The sequence below is a fragment of the Homo sapiens genome, chromosome 5, assembly GCF_000001405.40.
Source record: "Homo sapiens chromosome 5, GRCh38.p14 Primary Assembly".
Lineage (NCBI taxonomy): Eukaryota > Metazoa > Chordata > Mammalia > Primates > Hominidae > Homo > Homo sapiens.
Genome location: NC_000005.10, coordinates 166,905,178 through 166,927,199, shown reverse-complemented (window position 1 = coordinate 166,927,199; position 22,022 = coordinate 166,905,178). Strand labels below are relative to the sequence as shown.

Here is a 22,022-nt window from a genome sequence, read left to right as displayed (position 1 = left end):
GGCTTAGCACCCGGGCCAGCAGCTGTGGAGGGTGCGCCGGGTCCCCCAGCAGTGCTGGCCTGCCGGAGCTGCACTCGAACTCTCCCCAGGCCTCAGCTGCGTCCCGGGGGAAGGGCTCGGGACGCGCAGCCCGCCATGCCTGAGCCTGCCCTGCGCCGTCAGCTCCTGCGCGGCTGGAACCTCCTCTATGAGCGCCAGCCGCTGGCTCCCAACCACTGCCCATGGGCTGAGGAGTGTGGGCGCACCGCAGGGGACTGGCAGGCAGCTCCACCTGCAGACGTGGTGCAGGATCCACTAGGTGAAGCCAGCTGGGCTCCTGAGTCTAGTGGGGACTTGGAGAACCTTTATGTCTAGCCAAGGGATTGTAGATGCACCCGTCAGCACTCTGTGTCTAGCTCAAGGTTTGTGAATGCGCCAATCAGCACCCTGTGTCCAGCTAATCTGGTGGGGACTTGGAGAACCTTTATGTCTAGCTAAGGGATTGTAGATGCACCAATCAGCACTCTGTGTCTAGCTCAAGGTTTGTAAACATACCAATCAGCACTCTGTATCTAGCTCAAGGTTTGTAAACACACCAATCAGCACCCTGTGTCTACCTCAAGGTTTGTAAGTACACCAATCGGCACCCTGTGTCTAGCTAATCTGGTGGGGACTTGGAGAGCTTTTGAGTCTAGCTCAGGGGTTGTAAACGCACCAATCAGCACCCTGCCAAAACGGACCAATCAGCCTCTGTAAAACAGACCAATCAGCTTGCTGTAAAATGGACCAATCAGCAGGATGTGGGTGGGACCACATAAGGGAATAAAAGCAGGCTGCCAGAGCTAGCAGTGGCAACCTGCTCAGTTTCTCTCTGCAGTGTGGAAGGTTTGTTCTTTTGCTGTTTGCGGTAAATCTTGCTGCTGCTCACTGTTTTGGTTTGCATTCCCTTTATGAGCTGTGACACTCACCGCAAAGGTCTGCAGTTTCACTCCTGAGGCCAGTGCGACCACGAACCCACAGGGAGGAATGAACAACTCCCGACAGGAGGAATGAACAATTCCAGACGCGCGCCGCCTTAAGAGCTGTAACACTCACCACGAAAGTCTGCAGCTTCACTCCTGAAGCTAGCAAGACCACGAACCCACTAGAAGGAAAAAACTCTGAACGCGTCTGAACATCAGAAGGAGAAAACTTCGGACACACCGTCTTTAAGAACTGGAACACTTATACCATGAGGGTCTGCGGCTTCATTCTTGAGGTTAGTGAAATCAGGAACCCACCAATTCCGGACACAATATTAGTAGTTCTTATTCAGGGTATTGAAATGGAAGGTTATTTTTATTTTCATCTACTACTTTCATTTTGACTTCTAAACGTTTTACAATGAACAGTATCATTTTGAAAAGATATTATTTTAATCTTACTTTGAAATATTTCAAATTTATGACATGCGTAAATATTAAACACCTACTTTTTTTTTATTAATATATTTTGAGACAGAGTCTCATTCTGTCGCCCAGGCTGGAGTGCAGTGGTGTGATCTTGGCTCACTGCAACCTCTGCCTCCCAGGTTCAAGTGATTCTCCTGCCTCAGCCTCCCGAGTAGCTGGGATTACAGGCACATGCCACTGTGCCCAGCTAATTTTTGTATTTTTAGTACAGATGGGGTTTCACCATGTTGCCTAGGCTGGTCTTGAACTCGTGACCTCTGGTGGTTCACCCATCTCAGCCTCCCAAAGTGCTGGGATTACAGTAGTGAGCCTTTGCACCTGGCCTAAGTCTCCTTCTTTAGAGTAACCATTGTCCTCATATTTATTCTTGCACTTCCTGATCAAATTTTGTATCTTTAGTTGATATGCACGTAATATGGTTTAGATGTCCTCCCCAAATCTCATGTTAAAACATGATTCTCACTGTTGGAGGGGGGCCTTATGGGAGGCGTTGGGGTAATGGGGCTGGATCCCTATTAATGCCTTGAAGCCCTCCCGAGAGTACTGAGTTCATATGAGATCTAATGTTAAAAAGTCTGGGATTCCCCCCATCTCTCTCTCGTTCTCTTTCCTGCCATATGGTATGCCAGTTCCCTGTTTGCCTACCACCATGATTAAAAGCTTCTTGAGGCCTTACCAGAAGCAGATGCTGGTGCAGTACTTCTTGTACAGTCTGCAGAACCATGAACCAAATAAACCTCTTTTTTTTTACAAATTGCCAAGTCTCAGGCATTTCTTTATAGCAATGCAAACTGGACCAACACAGAAAATATATAAAGTTTACATATTTTAAAAATTTACAAAAATGTCATTTACTGTATATATCATTCTGTAGTTTGCATATTCGAGTTGAAGATATATATACCTGGAGCCTAGAATTTCCCTTTCACATAAATGTCCTAGAGATCTTTCCTCATGTGTGCATACTATAATAAAACGTACTTTAAAATAAAATGTATATTTGCATTATTTTGTCAGAACAAAAAAACTGAAAACCATTAGAGAGTGGATAATAAATGTGAGAGCATTCATGCAAATGAATACTAGAAAAATTGCAAATAAATTATATCTACATGCTATCACTATAAACAAACTTCATAACATTGAGTAAAATAATTGTAAAAATTTGAATAAAAATAACATTCACCCCTAACCCTTGTTTTTAAAATAATAGCAGTATACTCTAATAATTTAACAGCTATCTGTGTGTCCTTTCTACTTCATGGTTTCCATCATCCTCTGTTAGTTCATTTAAACTTACTATATCATCTAGTATTTGAGTTTCGTATGACTCACCCAGATTTTAATGATAATTTTCACTCAATTTTTTCCATCTTTAAGCACTTCTTGATTTTATCCTGAAGTAACTAATATCAAAGATGACAAACTGCAAAATTCTAGAGTGCCAACTTCTTCCCTCTTTCATTCTTCTTGTCATTGTAGTCTTGCTAAAAATGTTCTTTTGTCCTCATCATAACTTCAACTTCTTCATGTTTTCAACTTACTATTTCTCCATTCTATGAGATTTTGGAGGTTCTCATTTGCCTCTGTTCCTTGCCTTGATCTTAGGCTTAGCTATTTAATTGATGCTCTCCTGAACACCATAGATTCATGGATTCACTATTCTTTTTGCTTTTATAATTCTGGTGATTTTCAATTCTGAATAAGCCCCTCTATCCATTTCCTGTATTTGGCTACTGAGAACTTCTGGAAGAAGTTAAAAAATCAAGTACAGCATGAAAATCACGTATAGTTAAAAACTCACCAATTTCTAACACAGTTGGGTTTATAAGGCTTGGGTTGCTTGTAACTCTCCTATTTACTTGCTACAGACCTGCAGTAGTTTCTTACTACATACCTGCAGAGATTTCAAACTTTCTCTGGTCTCCTCAAATTATCAAAACTCTTTATTACCTTACTGGCTGAAAATAGCCTTGATATCCCATTGTCTTCAACTTGACTGAGAATATTTAAATTTGCTAGAGTGCCCTTTATCTTTCTCTTCTGTATTTCAATATAACTCTGTACCTCCAACTAGTGTTTCCTTTTCTCTCCTCTTGTAGAAGAAATATGACTCCCTCTTGTCAAAACTAACAGCTACTTATGTGCCTTAGTTTTGACATCCTACACATGACATCAATATTTTACACTTTTACCTTTTCTCTTATATTGTCTGCATCCCCCCCGCCCCCTTTTTTTTTTTTTTTTTTTGAGACGGAGTTTGGCTCTGTCGCCCAGGCTGGAGTGCAGCGGCGCGATCTCGGCTCACTGAGAGCTCCGACTCCCGTGTTCATGCCATTCTCCTGCCTCAGCCTCCCAGGTAGCTGGGACTACAGGCGCCCGCCACCGTGCCCGGCTAATTTATTTCTATTTTTAGTAGAGACGGGGTTTCACCGTGTTAGCCATGATAGTCTGGATCTCCTGACCTCGTGATCCACCTGCCTTGGCCTCCCAAAGTGCTGGGATTACAGGCGTGAGTCACCGCACCCGGCCTGCTTCCCCGTTTTCAAAGCCCCTTCTGTCCTGCTTACAAATATACTCAGATCTCACCTCTCCCAATAGCATTTTATATTTTCCTTGCTGCCCCCTTATGCTATCACCCAATCTTTCTTTTCATCTCCCTTTTACTCTTATTTGCCAAAATATTGATTTAAAATTTTAAAATTTAAAATTTGGTATTACATCACAGAAAATACCATGAAAGACTCCCACACTAAATTTGAATACATGGTGTTATCATATTTACCATAAAAATCTTAACAGAAATTAATAACTCATAGTGCAAAAGCCCCATTATCTAAACTCTTCCTTGTTTTCTCCCAAAAGTTATCACTCTCCTCAAGTACGTATTACAATTCCCATGCATTTTTTGCATTTTCATAAACACATATAAAGCCATATGGAATATAGATATTATTGTTGTGTCTTTAAAAAGTTCCAGGCTGGACGTGGCGGCTCACGTATGTAATCCCAGCACTTTGGGAGGCCGAGGGGGGCGGATTGCCTGAGGTCGGGAGTTCAACACCAGCCTGGCCAGCATGGTGAAACCCTGTCTCTACTAAAAATACAAAAATTAGCCGAGTGTGGTGGCAGGCGCCTGTAATCCCAGCTACTTAGGAAGCTGAGGCAGGAGAATTGCTTGAACCAGGGAAGGAAGTTACAGTGAGCCGAGATCATATCATTGCACTCTAGCCTGTGTGACAGACTGAGACTCCATCTCAAAAAAAAAAAAAAAAATTCCAGTGGGGTTGCATGTTGTACTAATTCTACTCCAAATTCAGTTTTTTATATGAATTCATATTAATATATGTAGTTCTGGCTTATTACTTTTAAATTTGTATAAAACTGCATTGTAGGAATAAACCACAGTTCATATTTGTCCTATTGAAGGATTTGAGTAGCTTCTTTTTCTACTATTATAAATAGTGCTGCTAACCTCTCTTGTCCATGTAGGAGAGTTAATTTGGGAAATGTATCTAGAAGTGAAGTCACTAGGCTGAAGAATATGGATAATTTTATTCAGAATTATAAAATGAACTTCAAAATAGTCTTTCAAATTTATATTAAATTACATCACTACTTGCTTCTACAAACTCTTACCAATACTTTGTGTTATTAGACTTAATTTGTTTTGCCATTCAGATGAGAATAAGTGTTATCTTGATTTCGTTTTTCATTGTATTGATTATTACTAGATCGAGCAGCTTTTTCTGTGTTTATTAGTCATTTGGTTGTTCTGTTCAATGAATTGTCTGTTTATATATTACTTATCCACGTTCTCTTTTTCTACCTTCTTATTGATTTTCCTTCATTCATTTGTTCATTCATTTAATCAACAAGTACTATTGAACACCCACTCTTTCTAGGCACTCTTTTATATGCTCAAAAAACATCAATGAACAACAGCAATGAAATATTGCCCTTGTGGAGCTCACTATCTTGCAAATTAAGAATATGAAAAATAAGTAAAATATATGGTGTTTTGCAAGATGATATGCAAAATAAAAAAATAAGGGCTGGGAGTGGTGGCTCATGCCTGTAATCCCAGCACTTTGGGAGGCCGAGGTGGGCAGATTACGAGGTCAGGATATTGAGAACATCCTGGCCAACACGGGGAAACCCTGTCTCTCTACTAAAAATGCAGAAAAAAAGTTAGCCGGGCGTGGTGGCACGCGCCTGTAGTCCCAGCTCCTAGGGAGGCTGAGGCAGGAGAATGGCATGAACCCAGGAGGCGGAGCTTGCAGTGAGCCGAGATCACGCCACTGCACTCCAGCCTGGGCGACAGAGCGAGACTCCGTCCCAAAAAAAAAAAAAAAAATAATAATAATAATAATAATAATAATAATAATAAACAAAAATAAGAGCACAGTAAGGAGAATGGTACAAGTTGTGTCATAAAACATTGTGGTGTCCGGGCTTGGTGGCTCACGCCTGCAATCCCAGCACTTTGGGAGGCTGAGGCAGGCGGATCACGAGATCAGGAGTTCGAGAACAGCCTGGCCGGCATGGTGAAAATCCATCTCTACTAAAAATACAAAAATTAGCTGGGCGTGGTGGTGCACACCTGTAATCCCAGTTCCTCAGGAGGGAGGCCGAGGCAGAATTGCTTGAACCCTGGAGGTGGAGGTTGCAGTGAGCCGAGACGCACCATTGCACTCCAGCCTGGACAACAGAGTGAGACTCCGTCTCAAAAAAAAAAAAAAAAAAAATTGTGGTCAGAGTAGTCTCATTAAGGGCAGATTTGATCAGACTTGAAATTGCCATGGGAATCAGCCAAGTAGTTTCTGGCAGTACAAAGCATTTCAGACAAAGGGAACAGCTAGAACCACGACCATGAAGTGGGATCATGCCTTTCGTGTCTTAAGAACAGCAAGAAGGCTAGTCTGTGGCTGCACCAGAAAAAGCAAGGGAGAAAGAAGTTGGAGCGAAGATCAGAGAGTCACTTCAGGCTTCTGAGCTGTGATCTGAATTAAAATTTTAAAAGATCACTGAGGCTCCTGTGAAAGATACACATAGAATAGAAGCAGGGATGGATATTTAGTTGCTTCCATGTCTTGGTTATTATGAATAATGCTGCAATGAACAGGGAGTACAGAAAGATCTGTACCTTTTGTAATTGACTCTGCCTTCAATTCCTTGGGACATATACCCAGATGTGCTATTGCTAGGTGATTTGGTATTTCTATTTTTAGTTTTTTCAGGAACATCTATGCTGGTTCCTATAATGGCTTTATGAATTTACACTCCACTAACAGTGTATAAGTGTTCCCTTTTCTCCACATCTTCAATATTTATCTTTTTTTGATAATAGCCATTCTAACAGGTATGAGGTGATAGCTCGTGTGGTTTTGATTTGCATTTCCCTGATAATTAGTGATTTTGAATAAAAATGAGTTACATATATCCAATGAAATATTATTCAACCAAAGGGAATTTTGCTATTTGTGACATTATGGATGAATCTAGAGGTCACTATGCTAGGTGAAATGAGACACAGAAGGATAAATACTACATGATACAACATATGTGATAAATTTAAAATAATCAAATTCATAGAAGCATATAGTGAAATGGTGGTTTCTACAGGATGAGGAGAGAGAAAAATGTGATGTTCATCAAAGGGTACAAAGTTTTGGTTATAGATGATAAATAAATCCTACAGATCTGTTGTACAACATAGTGAATATAGTTAACAGTACTGTATTGTATACTTGACATTTTTCTAAGAGAGTAGAACTCATGTTAAGCATGCTTATCACAAAAATTTGTAATCGTAACATATAATAGATTGGGAGGAAGCTTTTAACATGATGAATAGGTCTATGACACAGATAGTGGTGGTGGCTTCATGGGTGTACACTCATCTCCAGATTGACCAAGTTGTATACATTAATTATGCACAGATTGTTATATACCAAAAAATCAATTCTACCTCCACACACACACACACACACACACACACACACACACACAAATAGAAGCAGGGAAACTTGGTAGAAAGCTATTGTTATAATACTGGAAATATACATGATGAAGAGTGGTTAGATTCTGGCTGGGTGTGGTAGCTCAAGCCTGTAATTCCAGTATTTTTGGGAGGCTGAGGCGGGCAGATCACCTGAGGCCAGGAGTTTGAGACCAGCCTGGCAAACATGGTGAAATCCCGTCTCTACTTAAAAAAAAAAAAAAAAAAAAAAATTAGGCATGGTGGCACACACCTGTAATCCCAGCTACTCAGGAGGCTGAGGCACGAGGATTGCTTGAACCTGAGAGGTGGAGGTTGCAGTGAGCCGAGATTGTACCACTGCACTCCAGCCTGGACGACAGAGCAAGACTGTTTCAAAAACAAATAAAAAAAGAAGGAGAAGAAATAAATAGAATGGAGAAAAAGAAAAAGTTAACCTTTTGTTTACTTTAAAATGAGTATTTCTAACTTTTATTATTAAGGAGTTTGCTGTAAGTTTTTTGCTAGAAACCTTCATCATATTAGCAATGTTTTCTTAGATTCCCTGGATTCTTTTTTTTTTTTTAATCAAGAATGGACTTTAATTTTATCCAATTATTTTGTATCTTTTGGGATGACCATTTATTCCTTCCTCCTTTAACCTGTTAACATATTTAATTACATTAGTAGTTTTTTCTAATGTTAAACCATCCATGAATTCTTGAGGGAAACCTTTTCCGGTTCCAAAGCATTTTTAACACATTGCTTTATGTAGCATGCTAATATTTTAAATAAGATTTTTGCATGTAAAACTTTAATGAGATTGGCTGTAACTGTCTTATACTTTCCTTGGTTGGTTTGAGTATCAAGTTTATATTAGCTTTTAATAAAAGGTACAGAATATTACATCTTTTCATCTCATCTTGAACAGTGTGTAAAAGCCAAAGATATTATGTCATGAATGTTTTGGCTAAATTCACCTCTAAAATGATCAGGATCCCTTGTGGTCCATACTATCACTCACAGACTGTATATTTTTGCAGTGTACATGCTGAACCACTGCACTAGCTTGTAATTGGTCACTTACCATCCTCTGTTGCCTTTGATCTTTGCAAACTTGACACTGTATCATGTTCCTCTCTGAGTTTCTCATGGCCTAGAAGGTCCTGAGTGGTCTGACTCTGCCTGCTTTTCTGATCTCATCCACCACCATTCTCTTCCTAACCCAATATGTTTCTTTTTTCTTTTCTTTTTTTTTTTTTTTTTTGGGGGGGGGAGATGGAGTCTCGCCCTGTCACCTAGGCTGGAGTGCAATGGTGCAATCTCAACTCACTGCAACCTCTGCATCTCAGGTTCAAGCAATTCTCCTGCCCCAGCCTCCCGAGTAGCTGGGATTACAGGCACGTGCCACCATGCCCAGCAGATTTTTTGTATCTTTAGTAGAGATGGGGTTTCACCATGTTGGCCAGGCTGGTCTCAAACTCCTGAACTCGTGATCCGCCCACCTCAGCCTCCCAAAGTGCTGGGATTACAGGTGTGAGCCACCACGCCCAGCCAGTATGTTTTAAGAGTTGTGATCCTCATTCTGTTCTTCCAGCTCACCAAACTCAGTCCAATATCAGGGCCTTGCACTTTGCTCTTCTTTCTGCTTGAAATGCTCTTTCCTTAGATCTGAGTTTGGCAGACTTAATTGTCATTTATGTCTCGGTTCAAACATCAACTTTCAGAAAGGCTGTACCTGATTTCTGTATGTAAAAGATCAACTCCTCCTCCAGCCCCTCTCTATTCATTCCCTTGTTGTGGTCTTAGTGTTTTACAAGCATTAGCAATATCTAAACTTATTTTTTCTAACATATCAGTATCTGAACTTACAGCTTTTATCTTTTGTGTTTGTTTGTTTTAGTTCACTGTTTTTCTCTCCTCTATTAAAATGTAAGCTCCGTGAAGGTAAGGACTATTTCTCTTCTGTTTATTAAAATGTTTCTGGCCAGATGTGGTGGTGCACGCCTGTAATCCCAGCTGCTCAGGGGGCTGAGGCAGGAGAATCTCTTGAACCCAGGAGGTAGAGGCTTCAGTGAGCCGAGATCACCCCACTGCACTCCAGCCTGGGTGACAGAGCAAGACTCCGTCTTAAAAATAATAACAATAATAAAAAAAGTCTCCGAGTCCTAGAACAGTGTGAGCACCTAGTACACGAGCTCTCAAAAATATTTACTGAATGACGAAATTAGTGAATGGATGATAAGGCCAATCTCATCTTTCTCAAATATTAACTGCCATAGAATCCTAATTTTTGATATCCTCATCAATCATTCATTCGACATAAGTGTGTCAGACTCTGTCCAGGACACTAGATAAACAGTAGTGAACAAAACAGACTCTTTGCACTTTTTTGAGATTATACAATAGTGTTGACCAACAGTATATATGTAAGCACATAAATATTATGTCTTGTCATGTTCTGGTAAACCAGCTCTCTAAATAAAAGTCATGACTGGTAGTATTGCCAGTCACCGTGGTGTAAATATTTGCAACATGGCCAATTTCAAGTTTTAATGTTTTAAAAAATCACGTGGCAAATTTTTGAGAAATTTAGTAATTGAATTCTATGAGCAGGTATGGCTATGTCATATAGTATTCAGTGCTATGGAGAAATATAAAGCAGGGGTGGATAAAGTGTGAAGAAACTTTTGAGGAAACCATGTTAGTTTACAAATGACATGTGAGCAGAGACCTGAAGGAACTGAGACATCAATTTTGTGAGTATCTTGAAGAAAAGAATTTAAGACAGAGGGAAGGCTGGGTGCGGTGGCTCACGCCTGTAATCCCAGCACTTTGGGAGGTTAAGGCGGGTGGATCACGAGGTCAGGAGTTCGAGACCAGCCTGACCAACATGGTGAAACCCCATCTCTACTAAAAATACAAAAATTAGCCTGGTGTGGTGGCAGGCACCTGTAATCCCAGCTACTCAGGAGGCTGAGGCAGGAGAATTGCTTGAACCCAGGAGGCGGAGGTTGCAGTGAGCCGCAATTACACCATTGCACTCCAGCCTGGCGACAGAGTGAGACCCCGTCTCAAAAAAAAAAAAAAAAAAGAAAAGAAAAAAAAACAGACAAAAGGAAACAAAAATGCAAAGGCCTGAGGTAGGAGCATGCCTAGAACAAGAAGAATGGTGTCGTTATGGCAGAGTGAGTAAGTGGGGAGGAGAGATGAGGTTAAATGAGATCGGAGGGCCTAGTAACCCCTTTCAAGAACTGTCACTTTTACTCTGAATGAGATGGAGCACCTATGCATTGGGGCAAAGGAATAACAAGCTTGATAATTATAGTCAGCCTAACACAATAACTGTTGTCATGTTCTGACTCCGAAATTAATAAACGTAATGTATAGTATAGAAATCCTACTGAAGTCCTTACGAACGCAAGTGCAAAATCTTTTTATAAGCCTACAGTGGGATTTTTCCTTTATAAATGTCAGTTACAGATGTATGAGCAGCAAATGTCTTTGTGGATAACTTAAAGTCCTTGTTTGAAATTCCACCAATCACTCGCATACCTGGCAAACACAAATGTTTGTCTGGCAGTTGCTGGTCTGTACTTATGGTAAACATCATTCCAGGATGTTGTACTATAAATTTCCTTTGGGGATGATTTTATGAGACCCATTTTGGTTTTTAAGGGGACATCCCTGCACAGGTTTAATAATAGCATAAGAGATATTCACAGATTTTTATAAAAAACTGATTTTTAATGTTAAGACTAGTTTTAATATAAGTGATTTTTGTGCTAATAGCTTTTCAAAGTGCCACTTAACTGCATATTATAGCTAAAGAAGAGTGTGGGTAACATTGCAAGAAATAACTCTACATTCCGTCTCCATAAAACTCTGGTCTTGGTTTGTGAATTGCACTAATGAGGTCTATATATGAGATAGTTAATACCCACTTGGCCTTCTTACAAATGCATGCCCTGACAAGAAGAGGGCTCTATAAGAGAATGTGAATGATTCTACAAAAACCCGTAAGAAGCATCAGACAAAAAGAGAAAGATATAAAACAGGTGCCTCTTATTAAGCACTTAGTATTTGCCCAGCACAATGCTAATCACTTTGTTTACATTAGCTCCATAATTTCCTTCGAGCTAAGTACTGTTTATAGATCAGGTTCAAAGAATTTAAGTGTCATACAAAGTCACATGAGTGGTAAGTGGCAATGGTAGGACTTGACTCTGCAGTCTGTGCTCCTTCACGCCTGCCATGCGTTGCTGCCTACAGGTAGAGTCAGATGTAACTTTACCATATATAAGAGTAGCACACGGCTGGGCGTGGTGGGTCACGCCTGTAATCCCAGCACTTTAGGAGGCCAAGATGGGGAGATCACCTGAGGTCAGGAGTTTGAGACCAGCCTGGCCAACATAGTGAAACCCTGTCTCTACTAAAAATACAAAAATTAGCCAGGCGTGGTGGTGGACATCTGTAATCCCAGCTACTGGGGAGGCTGAGAAAGGGGAATCACTTGTACCTGGGAGGCGGAGGTTGCAGAGATTGCAGTGAGCCAAAATCGCGCCACTGCACTCCAGCCTGGGTGGCAGAGGGAGACTCGATCTCAACAACAACAAAAAAAAAAGTAGCACACATTACCCTAAAGATGTTTCCCATTTAAAATCTTACAAATTATCCCACAAGTCCCTAGGGATTACGACAGCTATACGCACACAGAAAAATTTTACTTTTCTACCCATCATGAACCACTTAAAGTTCCTAAGTCAGCATTTCCCAAAAGATATTCAATGGACCACTAATCAATTACATGTACTTTTTATGGTGTACTGTGGCCAGATTTGTATGGGATATATTGGGTAAACAAAGTTATATAGATTGTTGTTATTTATTTATTTGGTTTTTAGGACCTCTTAGGTTCTTTAATAATGTTCTTTGAAAATTGCTAAGAGATCAGATAATTCACTTTATTTCCTAAACATATTTTATTGAAGAACATTTTCTTTCAATACAGTAACAAGGGGAATGCTTTGCAAGAGCACTTTTTGGAGAGCTTCCTCTCACTTATCCTGAAGTTCAGGTTTATAACACAAATAGAAGCATCGTCTCTTCAGGAGAGTGCCCATCCAAGAGTTCAGTATGATTTCGGAAGAGGATGAATCAGAGCCACACGCTTATTTATTTCTGTTTTAAAGACTCTGGCACTAGTTCAACTTCTGACAGAGATGTGTAGATCTCAATAAAATCAAAGAATGAAATTGTATTCCTTGAAGATAACTCTTATCACGTTCTTAGACACCACGGGGTTTTTATTTATTTATTTTTTGGAATGGGTAAGATAGTGAACATCACCCCAAAGAAGCAAGCTTAGTTATAAACACTGACTAGAGGCAAGAGCTGGATCCTTCCATGTCCATGTGGCATTTTTCTCACTCACAGAACGTGTCTACCTATCTGTGTGTATGCATGTGTGTGCACACATGTGTGTGCGTTCCTTGCAAACACCTTTGGGGAAATTTTTGGTCTTATCAAAATAACATTACTATCAGAATTTAGTCATCTAATCAGGCTGAATTCCTCAGTAGACGTAGCAAATTGCTCCCCACAACCAGAAAAATTAAGGGAGGAGATCCTCTAACTGACAGAAATCCTCTAACTGCCTCATTGGACATGTTCCTTTTGCCTTTGAATAAACTATGCTCTGAACTGTAGATCAGAATATCAAATTCATCACGTACTAAATGAGGAAGGCATCATTATATAGAATAGCATGGGCTTCTATGTCCATGAGGGCTGAATCCAATCATAGCTCTATCCACTAACTCCCAGGCTGTGTGGCTTATTTACTTATTTATTCATTCACTTATTCATTCCAATCATGCATTTATTAAGCAAATTCTTATGGATTGCCTTTTATATTTCGAAACCTGTTCTCATCACAAGTTCACAGTGCAAGGCAGATAAGCCTTTGAGCCTCACTTTCTTCATCTATAAATTGGGAATTTATGGGACTGGTAATGATAATTAAATGAAATTATGTATATAAAGTATCTAGTGTAGTGCCTGGTGCACAAGAGGGGCTTAATAAATCCTAGTGATTGTTAAACCAAGGGTGATAATAATACTTCCTGATTTCTAACCAGCTGAACTGAACAGTTCACACAAGTATATTCCTTTTCATGGGAGGGGAAAAAAGCAGCTGCTTATATTGTGGGGTTTTTTTTTTTTTCTGTTAAATAGCTGTAACTTCCAAAGTATTTACTCCTTGCAGTCTAGATAATAAAGGCTGTTTTATAGGAAAGATACTATCTTAGGGGAATACCATTTTAAGTGACATTACCTATGAATGCTTTAATTCATATTGGTTTATCAGATTAGTTTACAAATTGCCTGGTAGGTCCCTAAGAAAGTGGGAAGCTGGAAGGCACATTACATGAGAAAAGACCAAAAAAGATCTTTGGACAAGGGGCTAACGGGAGAGCTGCAATATTAGGAGACTCTCAGAAGCAAGGGAATGGAAGTTCTAAGACAGAAAGGAGAAAGAGGATAGATATTTACCAAAATTTTGCAAAGTTCTCTTCAGATGAAAACTGCAGTTTTTATCATTGCCTATGAGAACTTACATGAGCCAAAAACCCATGTATCGCTCTTTTGCCTCATCTTATACTACTCTCTCTTTGTTAATTACACTTTGGTCTCACAGAGCTTCTTTCTGGCCATTAACTCCCAGCATTTCCCTGGTCTCAGTTCCACGGAACTGAGGTTTTTTAATTTGCCAAGGTTCTTCTATTTGTAATAGAAGGTTCTTCTATTTGTAATTCTATGTGTAATGGTTCCTTCCACATTTTCCACCATTTTGTAATGGTAATGGTTGGCTCTAAGGTCTCAGCTCACTGAAGAGGTCTTTTCTGACCACCACACTTAAGAAAGCCTCAGATAGGCCAGGCACAGTGGCTCACACCTGTAATCCCAGCCCTCTGGGAGGCTGAGGTGGGCGGATCACAAGATCAGGAGTTCAAGACCATCCTGACCAACATGGTGAAATCCTGTCTCTACTAAAGATTAGCTGGGTGTGGTGGCACGTGCCTGTAATCCCAGCTACTCAGGAGGCTGAGGCAGGAGAATCTTTTGAACCTGGGAGGTGGAGGTTGCAGTGAGCTGAGATTGCCACTGCACTCCAGCTTGGGCAACAAAGCAAGACTCCCGGTCAAAAAAGAAGAAAAAAAAAAAAAGAAAGCCTCAGATAACCTCCAATGTATCATTCTATTATTGTTATTACATTTACCATAATCTACAAACTTCTTTTTAAGCTTAATTAGGCTTTTTTTTTTCGTTTTTCTTTTCTTTTTTCTTTTTTTAGATGAAGTCTCGCTCTGTTGCCCAGGCTGGAGTGCAATGGTGTGATCTGGGCTCACTGCAACCTCCACCTCCCGGGTTCAAGCCATTCTCCTGCTTCAACCTCCCAGGTAGCTGGAATTACAGGCATGTGCCACCACGTCCAGCTAATTTTTGTATTTTTAGTAGAGATGGGGTGTCACCATATTGGTCAGGCTGGTCTTGAACTCCTGACCTCATGATCCACCCACCTCGGCCTCCCAAAGTGCTGGGATTACAGGCGTGAGCCACTGTGCCCAGCCTGAATTAGGTTTTTAATTATCTGATTCCACTCTGGTTTTCAGAATATAAGGTCTAGATACACAAGGTGTTTGTCTTTTTTGTTGCTGTATCTCTAGCACTGGGAATTATGACTGCCATCTAGTAGAGTCTCAGTAAAAAATTGTTGAATGAATAAATGATTTAATACCAGCATAAATAAAATCCTTCAAAGGTATGTTGAGAAATGGCAAGGAATAACTTCACCAAATTGACAATTTTGCCTAGGGCCAAAGCTGAATGTAACATTAATAATGTTCATTGATATTTTCTGGACTAATTTTGACATCTGAAATGAAAGAATTATTCCTTCATGCATGCAATTCAGGGAAATCAGTTATTATTCTAATCAATGTCTTGCTACTTTGAGCAATGGTTATTTTAAATCACCATAAAGGTGTGTTTGACCACGTGTCTTGAGAAGAATTTTCCATCTTTACATTTCTATTTAGTATAGGGGAGAGGTGACTTTTGAATATGTGTATGGAGGATTAATAATTATGTAGATATTTGTTACATAATAACATCATCAGAAAGAACAATAACAGCTTTTATTTTAATGGATGCTAGGCAAAATATCATTACCTTTATTCTCCCCTCAAAATAAATAACCAAATAATTACTTATCTTGTTTCATCTTCTTAGTGACAAGTTTCATTAGTTTAAGACATTTTTAAAATCTCACAATTTCCATATTTGCTATCATATTACTTCTAAGGATGTCAAACTCTTGCTAACCCACAAATAAGAGACTCAATGCCTGTATGTCAAACACAAGATTTCTTCCAGAGCTCAAAAACGTCTTGTGCTACAAACAGAATGGCAATTACTGATGCAAAAAACGTATAGCTCCCTCAAGGCTTTCAGAAATCTTGATTATTTAATCAGTGTTCTTGATTTGTAAGGCTAGGTAGTTGATGGCTCCCAAAATGTGTCACATTGGACATTAGCCAGATGGAATGCCAGTTTTCATTTGAGATTAAAGAGGTAAAATCCAACAAGAAAGGTTTTCCACCACCTCGGACTATAGCTCAACTTATATCAGATGACAAATAAAACTTGGCAGTCTGCTTTGCCCATGATTTTAAAACAGATACTTCATTGAACTGTCAGTTACCAAATGAGCTGATTAACTCTGATGTTGATTAAAGTTTTATTCTATGTTTTTGTTACTGACAAGTCTCTCTTTTCTTTTTGGGGGGAATCTAGTTCTTTCCATTTAATTCTCACCGCTTGTTTAAGGTTTCATTATGCCATTTAGGTTTTGATATATACACTTACTGGTGCTATTTTCAAGGCTTTTCTTTTATATACTTGCAAAATTAATGTACAATATGCATTACTTATCAGGAACCTAAACCACATGCATTTCTTTCATAGTTATACATAGGAACATCATAGTGATGTTTTACTTAACTGCTTGCAGATATGCCTCTTTCTCTTTTTTAGTTGTTTCATTTTATCTGTACAGAGTTTTGGTTTTTAGAATGTTGGGGCCCAATTTATACCAACAGCATACTTGAGATTGACAACTCTACTAAAAAATAGGTGATAGCTACAAGGAAAGGGACAGGACAGCAGCAAGTAGTCAGACAAAAAGTGTTTATTAATATCAACACTAAGAAACTAAAGGGGCCGGGAACGGTGGCTCACACCTGTAATCCCAGCACTTTGGGAGGCCGAGGTGGGAGGATCACTTGAGGTCATGAGTTCAAGACCAGCCTGGCCAACATGGCAAAACCCTGTCTCTACTAAAAATACAAAAAAATTAGCCTGGCATGGTGGCACATGCCTATAATCCCAGCTACTTGGGAGGCTGAGGCATGAGAATTGCTTGAACCCAGGAAGTGGAGGTTGCAGTGAGCTGAGATGGTGCCACTGCACTACAGCCTGGGTGACAGTAAGACTCTGTCTCAAAAAAAAAAAAAAAAAAAAGAGAAAGAAAGTAAGTAAAGGAAGGCCTGGGAGTCTAGAGTCCAAGAGTTCAGGAAGAAGTAGTCAGTTCAAATGTCCAGGCTGGAGAGAAGCCAACATTCCAGGCCTGGAGGTGCATTAAATAAAGGACACCACTGACCAGGTCACTAGGCTGCGCCTGACCAACAGACAGAATTATATTTGTTGGGAGTATCATTTCATATGACACTTTCCCTTTCTTCGGCTTCAATCCTATGAAACTTCTTTCAATTTTCTTACCAGACCTTACCCTTTCTCATTTTGGGGCTTGGATAATAAGTTCCCTCGCTCTATGCCACTCTTTCCTGTTTCTCTCCCCTTCCCCCAATATTTCCCTGGCTATAAGTTTCTTCCCTCCCAATTTTCAGTTGCATATCACCTCTAGCAGGAAGACTTTGCTGACTACATATGTGCATGTATGTGGAGCCCTAGGATTCTGTTATCCTGTATAATAGGTGCTATGTACCTTGAAGGTAAGGATTGTATTGATCCTCATCCATTCCTGTATCTCTAGCATCCAGCATAGCACCATCCAATTGCTTAATAAATACTTGTTGAAGTGAAAAAGCATTGCCTATGGGTGTGGGTGGCTATGGGCACTTGACTATAAGCAGGAAATTGATTGCAGCCTGTTGAAGAGCAAGCATTAAGATGGTAGAAAAACTGATATCCGGAGGGGCAGGGCTAAAGGAACTGAGGTGCTTGACAGTGATATAGGATGAGGGTCTAACTCCAAAGTACTCCATTCAGCAGTCCCCAGAATGTTGGTTTAGTTATTAAGAAAGCAGCTAATACTAATAATGCTTTCCAATCTCACTGCACTTCATACTCAAAGGATTTCTTGAGCTTTATAAACAGTGATTAATCATTCTTACCCCAGTGAGGGGGGTAAGAGTTATTATGCTCATGGTATGGAGAGGAAAACCAAGGCAGAGAGAGAGAGAGATTAAGTGGTTAACCCCAGGTCAGGCAGTGAGTCATGGAGAGCTGGCACTTAGACATGCAGTTTTAAACTTGCAGCTCTGGGCTTAGTCTATTGAGCACAGAAATGGAAGCTGGATGGCTTCCCTGACCCCCTAAAAGGGATGAGCAGCTCCCTTTTCCATGCTTTCTCATCTCCATTGGCCCCACCATTGCCTTTATCTTACTATCTGCCAGGTATTGTGCCTAGCGTTTTTCATATATTTTCATGGAATCCTGAAGAGAAAAGGAACTATCATTTTCTTTTTCTTTTCTTTCTTTCTTTTTTCTTTTTTCTTTTTTTGATGGAATCTTGCTCTGTCACCCAGGCTGAAGTGCAGTGGCGCGATCTCAGCTCACTGCAACCTTCACCTCTTGGGTTCAAGCGATTCTCCTGCCTCAGCCTCCCGAGTAGCTGGGACTACAGGCATGCACCACCACGCCCGGTAAATTTTTGTATTTTTATTAGAGACGGGGTTTTGCCATGCTGGCCAGGCTGGTCTCAAACTCCTGGCCTCAAGTGATCTGCCCACGTTGGCCTCCCAAAGTGCTGGGATTACAGGCATGAGCCACTGTGCCTGGCCTATTTCTACCATTTTCAAGATGAGAAAACCAAATCTCAAAAATATTAATTAACTGTTTAGTAGAAGACTTGGGATTCAGACCTGTAATTCTCATAGGTGAAAGCCCATGCTGTTTTACATCCTGTCACTTAAACATTTGTGTACATGATCGTGCATGATGGGTAGGTAGTATAATTCACAGAGGATAGCAGAGTACTAGGATATAATTGATCTTCGTCAAATATTTGTGAAAAAAATAAAGATCTAAAATCCCTCTGAAGATACTAGGTAGCTGATGCTGGAGTCTAACGTGTGAATGGCTCAAGGCCATAGAAGACAAGCTGACATGGAGTTCACGGCTATAATTGCGAGATGCGGACACCATGCGGGGATTCTCTGGGTCTTCTCCCATGAAGGGAGGCAGAGGTTTACTAGAGAGCCACCTTAACCATCCTTCACATTCCTTTAATCTCAGCAAGATGCAAGAATCTAGCTTTATCCTTTCTCATTTACAGGTATCTGAAAAGCAGATGAAGAGGTTAACAAACAGAATTCAATACAATTCTCCTTCAATTAGGGAAAATCTAATAACTACCTAAATATTCAATGAATGAATATTAATTCAAATTATCAATATTTTACAACTTTGCAGCCATTCAACATAGTGCATCAGAAGTGATCTTTCAACACATCCAGTACATGAATAAATGAAAAACGCAAGTTACAAAACATTACAGAGGTAAGTCTTATTTTGTAAAATGAAACATATATCAACACAAGAAACTCTGGAATAATATCTGTTACCAGATAGCAATGATGGTTATCTCTAGGAAGTAGGATTATGGGTGTCTTTATTTTATTGCTCTATATTTTCTGACTCTTTCGAAAAATCACGTATTGTTCTTATGATGAGAACCAAACTTAGTTTTAATTTTGAAAAAATAAAAATAGATGCCTCTTGAGAAAGAATGGATTTTGATCCACTGGAATCATAAACCAAGCACGAGCTGCCACCTGAAAATCTCAGCATTAAAATAAGCCATAGACTCCTGAACATACTCAAGCTTGCGTCTCCCTCTCCCTTCCTGACATAAGAAATCGAATGATTCATTCTGTTCCCCTCCACCTTACCCTGACATAGCAAAGATGGAATGTGCACTATTTCCAAATCAAAATAGGCACGGTGCAGCAAGAAGCACTTCCAAATGATGAAATTAGATTAGAAGTTAAGACAAAATATGTTTAACTGGCTTTTAAAGAAATTTGGTGGAACACATTACTATAAACAGTACATTTGGGCATCCAAACAAACTTTGCCCAGAGAAAATCAATTTTACTCCTCAAACAATGAGAAAAATTACTTTTGATTCGACATTAAATATTATTGTAAGTATTTTTAAGAAGCATTTCTATAATTCTGTGTAGAAATAGGAGTCAAAGGATGCCTTTGTTACCATGGTAACAGTCTCCCTTGGCAGAGCCAAGGATGAAGTAGCATACATTCGCCCTGCATATATTTGGCCAATCAATAAACAAAGGACTTAATCTGCATGCATCACATTAGGAAAGTGGTCAAGGTGTTGATGATTAGGAAAAGGGTGCAGAGGGGGTGTTTGAGAATTCTGGGTTCAATCATCCAGCCTAATTTTCAACTGAGTGTTGTTAACACTTTCTTCATTATGAAGATAAACTATTGCTGAAATGCCTGTAGATCCTTGAAAAATGGAAATCATCATTACAAAATTTTAACATGTCAGTGTGTATAAAGGTGATAAACTAGGGTAGGCGTATGAAGACAATGTGTGATACCACGAAAAAAAGGCACACACCTTGGAGCCCCAGAAATAATGATAATAATAACAGCTAATATTTCCTGAGCATTCACTATGCAGCAAACATAAGCTAAGTGCTTTATGTGAATTATTTCACTGAATCTTTCAAACAACCTCAAAAATTACTACTATGAGTTTTGATTACCATTTTGCATATGATGTGAGAACTATTATTACTCTAGTTTGCTGATAAGAAACTCACACTTAGATTCCAGTAAGTAGCCCAAGGTCTTCTGTCTTGGGAGTGTTGGAGGCAATGGTCAAACCCAAGTTGGTGGGCAGACCCAGTGTTGCAGTCAAACCCAAGCCTTGAGCTAAAGGGGAATGTTCTATTCACCACCTCATACTGCCAGCTTTGCCAGTAATCAACAAGGCGACTTGGTGAAAGCTATTTTACCCCTTTCAGCCCCAGACTCTTCATGAGCACCTAAAAGCTTATAGGAGGTTACGAGATAATGTATGTATACTCTTTTCTTCCTCTTGAAAGCTGTCAATTCCGCAGAACTTATTTTAGTTATTGTATTGACAGCTTTTAACTTATTTGGCATGAGAGAGAGCTAAGAATTATTAGTATGCTAAAATACCATTTTACTTTTGAATGCAACTTCCTTCCCCTTGAACATTTGAATAAAATTACCAACAAATAACATGCACACACGTGCACTTGTACACACACACCACCCCCCACCCATAAGTTTTTTCTCTTATTTTCTTACCCTTGTCACATGAAATGGCCACAAGACATAGGGCTTCGGGAATGTCAGCAGACGGAAATGCGATAAAGAAAACAGTCATCAGAAAACTAGCTCTGTGACTTTGGGGACATCTGTGAACATTAGTTTTTGGGCCTCAATTTCCTCTGCTGTAGCAGGAAAGGGTTGAAGGTTACTTCTTCCGAAGAACATTCCAGGGGTAACTATCCATGATATGACTGTGTCTGTGAACTGAGTGGCCTTGCTCATATGAGCCCTCTCTATGCCTTGTATTTATTTATTTATTTTGGATTTTTATAACCGGCTAAAGAAAATGAGTCCTTTTCAAACCCCCTGCACATGGCCTCCCTTCCAAGTGGCTTACTGCACCTCCCAGAATCATCTTCATAACTGAGGCTTCTACAACGTAGCCCTATGTAGAAAACTTGATAAAATTCTTTTTCCAGTTTTTTCAATGAAATGTTTTTCCCTCAATCATGTCATTATACAAATTATTACTCTGGGATAGAGACCATAAAACTGGGAATGGGACAGCAAATAAGTGCCCCAAATAAGTGCAAATAAGTGATCCAAATATCCCCCAATATTCTGAAACATCAACCGAGGTATCAATAAAAAGCAAAAACAGAGGCATTTTAGTAGATCAGTTATTGAGCAAAAGAATTATGGAAATGTTTCACTTGTCCACTCTTTATCATCAAATAAAATGTTTCTGTCACCTTTTTCTGGGTTCATTTTAAATGATTTCATAAGGCATTTTAATTAGCAACGTCTACTCAGAAAAGCAGTATTGAGCATTTGTGTTTTACTTGGTGCATTTCCTCAGGTAAAATCATAAATATAGTCCCTGAATTTCATGGCCACCTGACCTTCACATGAAGCTCATATTAAAGCCATCTATAGAGCATGTTTTCCTGAAAACTTGACAAGTGAGTACACAC

General features: G+C 39.7%; 1 long non-coding RNA gene across 1 annotated transcript; it reads left to right on the top strand.

The window, feature by feature from the left end:
• Positions 1-829: 829 nt before the first annotated feature.
• LINC01947 (long intergenic non-protein coding RNA 1947) lies at positions 830-21,978 on the top strand. The gene is made up of 3 exons (NR_108020.1): positions 830-1,237; positions 19,189-19,275; positions 21,908-21,978. It is a non-coding gene; the product is annotated as a long intergenic non-protein coding RNA 1947 (long non-coding RNA).
• Positions 21,979-22,022: the final 44 nt, after the last annotated feature.